This window comes from Homo sapiens, chromosome 2, assembly GCF_000001405.40.
Source record: "Homo sapiens chromosome 2, GRCh38.p14 Primary Assembly".
NCBI classification, from domain to species: Eukaryota; Metazoa; Chordata; class Mammalia; order Primates; family Hominidae; genus Homo; species Homo sapiens.
The window spans coordinates 72,077,550-72,088,066 of NC_000002.12; the positions used below are offsets into that span (position 1 = coordinate 72,077,550).

A 10,517-nucleotide genomic window follows, 5' to 3' on the forward strand; every position below is an offset into this window, starting at 1 on the left:
AGACTGTAAATAGGAAAATTAGGTGAGCAGAGAGTGCAGTCCCCTCCCCCAACTCTGCCTCTACACTTCTGCATCAGCATTTATGCATCACCCCCACCCCCAGGCAGGAGATTGTGAATCCCTCTATGATTAAACCAACTATCCCCAGAGAAAAGACCTATGGACACTGACATGCAGTGGTTCCCCAAAGAATTATCCAGCCACGCTGTCCTGGAGTGTCACCATAGTCAGTAAGCCTCATCCATGCACATTGTTTCCAGTTTTTCAGTGCCCCACTCTTAAATATGATCCAAGGATTGCCAACATATGATGAGGGATGTTGACAAGAATAGAATGGAGGCAACTGGTTGTCAATGTTAATGACAGTATGTCTGAACTGTTGAGAGAAGTTTTTACTTCCTTCAGAGAGATTTATCAGTGAAAGTTATAGACATTAACAACTAAAAATGGACAATTATTAACCCCAGGGGAAACAAAAAGTTGCACAAGAAAGGAAATGTGTTCATGGGACACTACATGGTGCAGCTGCAATGAATAGATTATGTGGACATAATACCAAGAGTAAATATTGGTCCAACCAAAAAGATAATATAATTCCATTGGAAGACTAGAAGAACAAATACATCTGTATGCTGGGAAAAGAATGGTAGCAAAAACCTCATTTTTAATAGTAGAAGACCAATGCTAATACTTAAGCCTACTACAAAAGTCTGTATAAGCATGATATTTAAAAATATGGCCACTAATGTCACAAAAAAAACTCAAAGTAGCTGCCTCTGGGAAGTGGAATTCAAGCAAGATGAAGAATAAAAATGTTACACTTTTTAAACCATGAACATGTATGACTTTGTCAAAATAAAACACGTTTAAATAAGGTGTAGAAGTTTGTGAAGACGTTTTGTAAGTTGACTTGTACTGCACCTGCATAAATTGTCAAGAATTCTTTTCTCTTTGTATGTTTTAATATGATGTATCTCTCTGCAATTATTAGCCTTCCTGAATTTTTTCTTTTTCCCCTGTGTTCCCTCTTCTCCTGGTTGGGTCCTAATGATTGAGGACAATAGTGGTAGCAATGACAACAGCAATGACAGCTGCTAACCTTCATTATCTTATTTAATCCTTGCAATCTGGCAACAGCACCATGGGGTTCGTACTTCCGGTTCTTAAAGAAAAGCAAACTGAGTCTCAGGAAGATCCTGTAACTTTGCCCAGGTTGCATAATAGCAAGGGGTGGATCAGGGGTTTGAACACAGATATTGTGACCCCGGAGGCTGTGCAATGACACTTCATGCCATCCAGCTCCCTGTTACTGAAGCAGATGGGAAATTAGACGCTTCAGTCTGACTGTGGCTGCTGACCTCAAACCTGTGGCAGCCAAGAGCCATGAGTGGGAACCACCATTAACATAGCACGTGCCATGCCCACTTTGACCATGTGGTTGTTACCTCGCCTGCCTGGGGACCATATCCTTGCTCCCTGGCAAGGCCCCTGAGCGGGGATCTCCCAGTCCCATGATTGAACCTGGTGCCTAGATAATGCTCATAGATAGTACATGTCATCAGCCTGATACCTGACCAATACAACCCCCTTTCCAGCTCCTGGGACCCTCTTTTACTGTCTTCGTTAAGCATCTTCTGCATATAACTTGTGGCCTGCAGCACCTGGCTAAGATCTTCCTCCACTCCCTCCCTGGGAGACTGCACAGCCTAGCTGGGAAAGTCAAAGCCATCAAGGACCCAGAAAATGTTACAAGGTAATAGCACATCTGCAAGGGTGAAATAGAGGCCTCAGCTCAAGACATTGAATGATGAAAGGTGGCCTGAAAGTCTTTGCTAGTTCTCCAGTTGCAAGTGGAAACTAATTCCTTCCTCTTGAACATGGCTAGCTCAGCTTGGGCTGTCAACCAGTGCCTATCCTTGAGACTGCCATGCTGGAGAGCCCACCTGGAGGTGTCCAGCCTGGCAGCTTCTACCTAGGCCTCCCGGAACACTTGTTCTGGGGACTTCAGCCAGGAGTACCAGATGACAGAGCATCCCTGAGAGAGGGAGTAAAGAGTAGGGGTGCTCAGAGAAGGACACCTGGAAGCAGACAGAAGAACACTTGCCCCCTGAGCCCTCCTGGGATTCTGGGGCAATCAGCCTACTGTGCTCCTGTGCCTGAGTCAGGCAAGGGAAGTGGTGGAACATCTCCTCCTGCCAGGGAAGCCCGCCCAGGCCAAGAGCCACACTCAACGGGCCCTGTACACCCTTCAGAGCCCCTCTGCCCTCCCAGGACTTCACAGAGGAAGGGAAGGACAGGCTTCCAGGAAAGCCAAGGCCCAGAGTGAAACAGAGACTCACCAGGGTCACACAACCCATCCAAGGGTGGGCTGGGATGCAGGGATTTTGGATCCCCACTCCTGTGCCTTTCGTGAGGTTGCACCTAAGTGACCACCTCTGAAGAGGTGAAGGAGGAAAGCAAGGGGGGGGAAGAGGAGGGGAGAAGAGAGGAGAAGAGGGAAGAGGAGGTGGTTCATAGCCCAGCTCAAAGCTGGTTTTCAGGCAGGGCCATGGCTGTGTAACTGCTATTCACAGTTCAGGGAAAGAACTTAACCCACTATCACTGTGTGTGTGTGTGTGTGTGTGTGTGTGTGTGTGTGTGTGTGTGTGCGCGCGCGCACGCATGTGCACAAGTGTCAGACTGGAAGTAGTTGTGAATCACACACCATGCTCTGCACTGGGGAAATGTGAGCTCTGAAGAACCTTCCAGAAACATGTGAGCACCAAGACCCAGGCATTAGTGATGGCAGCAGTAGGCCAGCTGGTGCAGCTGCTGCCATCACACTGGTGGCTGAAGGGGGTGCATGGGGAGGAGGTGGACAGCCCCCATCCCTGCAGCCCACCACCCTGGGGCCACTGCGATGGGACTGGGCCAGGTTGTGTGCCCAAGCCACAGCTGCAACCTGGGCACCCCTGTGCTCTTGGGAGCTGGGAGTAGGCAGAAGTCTCACTGTCCTGGGCTCCTGCTCCATGGAGCACCACCCCCCACCATGGCTACAGCTATTCAAACCAGAGCTGCAGACCCAGGCATCCTTGCACTCTTCCCCCACTTGCCTTCACAGGCTTAGAGGTGCCTTCTCCCACAGCCTGGCCTGTCCCCAATTTTGGCGCCCCCCTCCAATCTCAGAGTAGAGTTGGCACTAAGCCCAGTGCTGTCACAGCCCAGTCAGGTGTGCACACACTCCAGGCAGTGCTGACATGCCAGCCTCCTGCTGTCTTGGTCCCCTTCAGACTTTGGGCACTGAGGAGCATGGGAGGGGAAGCTGAGGGGGGCTGAGGAGGGCTGGGTACTGGCCTGCATGTACCCCTTGCTGCCAGCAGCCTGGGCACCATGGATGGTCACAGGAGGCAGACAGGCTACTGGGTGGAAGGGAGTGGGTCCCCAGTGAAGCCCCACCTTCAGGCCAGTCTGCCAGTCCTGCAGACAGGAGGGGAACTCATGGTGCTTTTTCCTGGGCCCACCCATGGCTGTCCAGGGACCAATCAGCACACACCTCCCCCCTCTGACACCCATAAAAGCCTGGGGCTCAGTCAGAGAAGGGCAGACGTCAGAGAGAGGATGGGACAGCCAGCTGCAGAGAGGAGCTACCCTCTCTGCTGAGAGCTGAACACTCAGGCTGACTTACCTACAGGGAGGAGCTACCCACTGTGGGTGTTCTAATACTTAATAAATCTCCTCTTCCTCATGTTCACCCTTCACTTATCTGCGTACCTCATTCTTCCTGGATGCGGGACAAGAACTTGGGCAAAAGCGCCACTGGCCTAGAGGTTTCTGGCCAGAAAACCGACACCCCAAAGATCCCATAATATTAGGACTTCGTACCCAACACTCTGCCCACTCTAACCATTGCTCATAATCAATGGTGATGCCGAGTGCCCAGGAGGGAAGTGCCTGGATGGATATCTGGCCATGCTGACCCACCCATGGTGTCCACTTTCATGCTCAAGGGGGGCGCATGGAGCAGGGCAGTTGCAGGTCACTCTGCTAATGGGGTGCAGGCCAGCCTGGGCCATGGAGCAGCTCTGCACCTCTGGCTCCAGCACTAAGTGTGTGACCCGCAGGCAGGGGGCATGTGCACACAGCACTCGCACACCCACCTACCAGCCTCTGCTGCTCTGAGATTTGTGGGGCTTTTCGCCTGCGAACCCGAGTGACTCAGAGCTATGGGGTTTCCAGAACTGCCTCTCTGTAGCTCAAATGACACAGTTGAGTAATCAAGGAGGTGCAGGGATCAGAGCACCAGTTTTCTGACCCTCGGGGTGCTGTCTGGACCCTTGTCATAAGGGTCCTCTTCCTTCAGAGCCCTGGGCCTGAACTCGCCACCACTCCCAACTCAGCCCCCATAGCAGGCGCCTGGGTCCCACCTCTCTCCCTGCTGCCCCCACCCCCACACCCCTCCTTGGTCTCCATCTTGGCAAGCTGGCCTCCACCCCACCCCATCCCTGTTTGAATTCTGGGAAAGGCAAGGGAGGAATGGAACAATGGCCTAAAATTAGAACCCACAACAAAAACATGGCACTCTGAGTCATGCATTGTTCTTTTGCACTGCTCCAAATGCTGCGTAGCCACATTGGTTCTGGCCCTGATGAGTGCTGACAGCAGGATGAGCACAAGCCAGGCCTCAGGGGAGAGGGGCTGCAGAGTGGCAGCCCCATGGGGCCTGGCTCCTGGATGTCAGAAAACTGGTGGGAGGATGGAAGGCCAGCGTTACCCTTGGGTCAGCCCTGATGGGCGTGGAGATGAGACGCCTGGGCCAGTTCCCTCCGTTTGCGCCACCTTCCATCTGCCTGCCATCGGGCAGCCTCCCGTCAGCACTTCTGTGCAGCACCATGTGCACGCATGAGGTTTCCCGTTCACGGGAAATGACGGCTGGCTCAGAGCACACATCAGCCATGGTCATGATCACCCCAGGAACTGCTGTGCAGGACCTCTACTGAGCCACATGCTTGTCACCTTCTCAGAAAAAAAATGACTCACAGTCATGTTCTCCAGTTTGAACCCACAGGAAGGGGACTATGTCCCTTTACCAGCAAGTGGGGGTGTCAGCATGGAATGTCATCCCAGAAATCTCTTGTCCATCTTTTCGCCACCCCTACTGCTTCCTTTAAGAACAAAACAGTGTTTTTAGGTTCCCTTCATCCCAGGGATCCCCCATCATCACCGCGGGGATGAATCCCCTCATCTGCAGGCAGGTGCAGCCGGCTGAGGGGTGGGCCGGAGGTGGAACATGCTTCTCCCTGTGCTCTGGGCTTTGTGGGAGGAGTGAAGACAAGACAGACAGTCTCCTCATCTTTCAGTGACCCCCTACTGTACTCCAGGGCTCCTCAAAAGCCAGCAAGTGCCAGAACCACCACCCAAGCAGCTGGTTGCAGAGCCGACTCCCCGTTCTTAAAGGGCCTGAGCCTATGGGACCGGAAGAGCTCCACAGTCTGCCTGTCTCTGGTGGTGGAAGACCACTCTCAGAAGCGCGGGCTGAGGCTTGCACACAGTCAGATTCCCGCGCAGCACGTGCACAGGTGTGCCCAGGGGCGAGCGGTGTTTGAAGTGCTTGGGACAGGATGGTCGGAGGAAGGCGTGCGCTGAGCTTGAACGGTTGGCAGGATATGGAGAGGCAGAAATTGGAAGTGAAAATTAGAAAGACAGTGGCCTGGCGCAGTGGATCACATCTGTAATCCCAGCGCTTTGGGAGGCTGAGTCGGGCAGATCACCTGAGATCAGGAGTTCAAGACCAGCCTGGGTAACATGGCAAAACCCCGTCTCTACAAAAAATACAAAAATTAACTGGGCATGGCGGCACATGCCTGTAATTCCAGCTACTCTGGAAGCTGAGGCAGGGGAATGGCTTGAAGCCAGGAGGTGGAGGTTACAGTGAGCCGAGATTGCACCCACTCTAGCCTGGGCTACAGAGTGAGGCTCCATCTCAAATAATAATAATATTAGAAAGATTATGAAGAGCTTTGAATGCTGCCAAGACAGCTGATTTTCACCTGCTGAAAATGGGAAGGGGATGTGGAGACAGACACGTGGTCAGAGCTGTTTTCGGACGGGAGCTGGCAGAATGTGGAGGTGGCCTGAGAGGCCAAGAGGAGCAGTGGTGGGTCCCTGGGCCCATCCAAAAGTCCCCAAGAAGAGGACCAGGACTTACTGGACTCTGCATTCCTGGTTCCCGCCTGGCTCGTGTTAGCACTGGTGAATGTATGTGGTCAGGTGAGTTATGCCTGAGAAGGCTCCTGCGTTGTCGTGCACGAGAGGAGACCAGCCTGAGCTGGAACAGGCTGGTGACGAAGGGAGGGTGGGGACACGTGGCGGCACAGGTAGTGAAGGTGGGAGATGAGGCCTCCGGAGCCCTGGGGTGGGGAGGGGCAGGCTGCGGAGTGGGACTTGGGCCCTGTGTGCGGGTAGGGGGTGATGGTAGAGGTGGTGCAGGGCCAAGACCAGGAATGGAGAATGGATCCTGAGTGGAGTCAGGAGTGGAGTCACTGCTTCTCCAGGACGGCCTCTTGCCCCAAGGCCATGGGAGCAAGGGGGGAGCTGTGGGAGTGTGGGAATGCACTGTGAAGCTGCTCACGTGGCACAGTGTTCTTTCACTGGAGTCCTCAGGGGTCTCGCCCTGCCTTGCCCCAGCATCCACCCACAGACCCACGTGTCCCAGATCCGAGAGGAACATGTCTGCTAAATGTCATCCCCCACAAAAGGCAAGGGACACACTGTCTCCCCTCACTGCTGGTTGGCATTGTAAGAGGAGCCGCTGGCAGCTGGAAGAAAGCTGGAGAGCACCCGGCACGTGGCTGGGCTGCAGGGAATGGGGTGCAGCAGCCACCGGCATCCGAGCCTGGAGGAAAGTCAGGTCTCAGAGGGAATGGGGTGGCGGGGCTCTGTTTAGATTGAAAGAAAATCATCAGACAACCCAGAGCTTTGGTTCCAGTTCAGACCGGCTCATTGGTTTGTTCTCGTTTTAAGACTCTCTCTTTGTTTATAAAGTGTATTTGTATTTGTTTCCATTTGGGATTCAGCAGATGAGTGCAATGAATTCCAGGGTCTGCTTCATGGATCAGCTCAACTTGAACACACGCACATTTCACTCTCAGACTGGGGCGCATCCAGGGATGTGTTGTCTCCTCTCTACTCCCTAGACAGCCCCAGGACAGAGGTGCCCACACAGACCAGAGACGGGGGCTGCCGCACCAGGAGCAGCAAGGGCTGAAAGACCACAGATGACCACTATGGAGACCTCCAATGCCTGGCTCATGAATCATCTCATTTACAACAACTGCATGCTGTCGGTATGATGATTAGCCCTGTTTTACAAACAGAGGGGGAAATTCAGAGAGATGAAAAACCTGCCCATGGTTGTTCCACGGGCACATGCAGAACAGGATTTGAACCCAGGAACCCTGTTCCTGTCTGGCTCCAGGGCCTACCCTGGACCACCAAGTGTATACTTTCTGTACAAAGTACTACTGCTCACAAGAGGGATGTGGCCCCCAGGGCCTTGTCTCCCCTTAAAAGAGAATGTAGAATGAGAAGCAGGGTGGGCAGCGGCCCGGGAGCGGCATGATCTGTCGTGCCTCACCCCCAGAGGTGGCTTGCTCTGGGGCTGCCCCCATGGTGGCCTCTCCCAGGCAGGTCCTTGAGAAGTTGGAGCGATCAGGACTTCCGGGGAACCATGTTCTTGTACTCCCCGGGCCAGGGCAGTTGCAGAAGCCTGGGGCTCAGGCTGCAGAGGTAGCAGGCAGGACTCGGGGCGCCCACAGCCCCGGAAAGATACCTCACCTACCTGCAGACTCTCCTCTTGAGGACTCTGTCCCAGGGGCTCCAGCAACCCCCTGGGAGGCTGCTCAGGCCCCACTGTTCCCCAGACCCACCTCTGCTCAGAGTGAGCCTAAGGTAGGAGCAGGAGAGAGAGCATGTCTTAAGAGAGAAAGCCACCTTCATGAACAGACGCTCACCTGCTCCATTAATGCCAAGGTCAGCATGAGCAATGAGAACCATTACCATTAATCAACAGCAAGGGCTGATCTGAAGCCCAAGTACTGGGAAACAAGACTGGGTCACCTGGGGAGTGGCTGCTTGGCGAGCTGTAAGGTGTGTGGGAACCCACAGCTCCCTGCCAACCTGGGAAGGCTGCCTGGAGGAAGCAGCCTTTTGAGTGCTGCTGGATGTCCCCAACAGCTCTGGGCCCCATTTCCAAAGGCCTCTACCTCCCAAGAACACTGCAGGCTGGCTGGCTCCCATGAGACCCTGAAGCCCACATGGTCAGGAGCAGGAGAAAAGTGGGAAAGGAGAAGTTGCTCTACTGGGGAGGAGACCAGAGGCCCTGGCATCCCCAGGAACTGCACCCCCTGCAAATTTTCAATTCTGCAATCCCTCCCTGACCGAAACCTCACTCCCCAGCTCTTTACTTAGCAGGTGGTCTTGCCTCATGCAAAGAGAACCGGGGCCCTGCTCCTCTATCCAGAGTTGCCTCTGCCTGTCTGCCCTGACCTCTCTCCATCCATCAGAGCTCCCTGCTCCACTGCCCCCCGCCAGCCCCTCAACCCTGATTCTTGGGCCACTCCTTAGTCCCTGCTCTGGACCCACTCCCTGGGCACCCCTGAAATACCAGCTGCCTCCCAGGGCCCCACTGTCCATCCTCTCTGCTCTTCCTGCTCCCCACATGTACAGATAACAACCCCTGTATTGATTCCTTCATTTCTCATAATAACCTCATAGAGTTAGAAGGGCACTCAGTAAATGCTGGCCACTCCTCTTCCATGGAAGGCAGTCAGGAGGCGGCGCCCCCAAGCCTGGTCAATTCAGCCACCCAGCTATGTCAGGCACTGGGCCAGGCATACTGTGATTCTCTCAGTTCATTCCCTGAAGCATGTGAGACCACTGCCATGAGTCCCAATGTCACATCCTTACAAGGCAAAGTCTACAGGCAGAAAAGAAGGCATTTTCCTCCTCCATTGTCTCTTTTTATCAGGGAGAAAACATTTTCCTGGAAGCACCTGATTCCTTGGGCGAATTCAGGCCTGATGCTGAAAACCTAGCTGCAAAGGAGGCTGGGGAGGCCTGGTGTTGGGAAGGTAGTTCTGCCAAAAAGGAGAGGAGTGCCTGCCCATCTGGCTAATGGGATTAAGAGGTGACAGCATGCTGGCAGTCCTCAGAGCCCTCGCTTGCTCTCCGCACCTCCCCTGCCTGGGCTCCCACTTTGGTGGTATTTGAGGAGCCCTTCAGCCCCCCCACTGCACTGTGGGAGCCCCTTTCTGGGCTGGCCAAGGCTGGAGCCCACTCCCTCAGTTTGCAGGGAGGTTTGGAGGGAGAGGCACGAGCGGGAACCGGGGCTGCTTGCGGGCCAGCTGGAGTTCCCGGTGGGCGTGGGCTTGGTGGGCCCCGCACTCAGAGCAGCCAGCCAGCCCTGCTGGCCCGGGGCAATGGGGGACTTAGCACCCGGGCCAGTGGCTGCGGAGGGTGTACCGGGTCCCCCAGCAGTGCCGGCCCACCGGCGCTGTGCTCGATTTCTCGCCGGGCTTTAGCTGCCTTCCCACGGGGCAGGGCTCGGGACCTGCAGCCCGCCATGCCTGAGCCTCCCACCCACTCCATGGGCTCCTGTGCGGCCCGAGCCTCCCCGACGAGCACCACCCCCTACTCCACGGCGCCCAGTCCCATTGACCACCCAAGGGCTGAGGAATGTGAGCGCACGGCGCAGGACTGGCAGGCAGCTTCACCTGCAGCCCCGGTGCGGGATCCACTAGGTGAAGCCAGCTGGGCTCCTGAATCTGATGGGGACGTGGAGAACCTTTGTATCTAGCTCAGGGATTGTAAACGCACAAATCAGCGCCCTGACAAAACAGGCCACTCGGCTATACCAATCAGCAGGATGTGGGTGGGGCCAGATAAGAGAATAAAAGCAGGCTGCCCGAGCCAGCATTCGCAACCCGCTTGGGTCCCCTTCCACACTGTGGAAGCTGTGTTCTTTCACTCTTTGCAATAAATCTTGCTACTGCTCACTCTTTGGGTCCACGCTGCTTTTATGAGCTGTAACACTCACCGCGAAGATCTGCAGTTTCACTCCTGAGCCCAGCAAGACCACGAGCCCACCGGGAGGAACGAACAACTACAGACGCGCTACCTTAGCAGCTGTAACACTCACCGTGAAGGTCTGCAGCTTCACTCCTGAGCCAGCGAGACCACGAGCCCACCGGGAGGAACGAACGACTCCAGATGCGCTGCCTTAAGGGCTGTAACACTCACCGCGAAGGTCTGCAGCTTCACTCCTGAGCCAGCGAGACCACGAACCCACCAGAAGGAAGAAACTCCAAACACATCTGAACATCAGAAGGGGCAGACTCCAGACGCGCCACCTTAAGAGCTGTAACACTCACCGCGAGGGTCCGCGGCTTCATTCTTGAAGTCAGTGAGACCAAGAACCCACCAATTCCGGACACAGGATGACCTGCCCTTGACCTTTCCCCTCTCCAGCCCATCCTCCATAA

At 54.8% G+C, this 10,517-nt stretch overlaps 1 annotated feature.

Annotated features, from left to right (window-relative positions):
* Positions 7,744 to 8,244: an enhancer, noted in NCBI's record as "H3K4me1 hESC enhancer chr2:72312423-72312923 (GRCh37/hg19 assembly coordinates)". NCBI's record gives its function as "activates a minimal SCP1, AML or CMV promoter by ChIP-STARR-seq in primed H9 embryonic stem cells {active_cell/tissue: H9 hESC(primed)}" and the evidence as "EXISTENCE:reporter gene assay evidence [ECO:0000049][PMID:30033119]".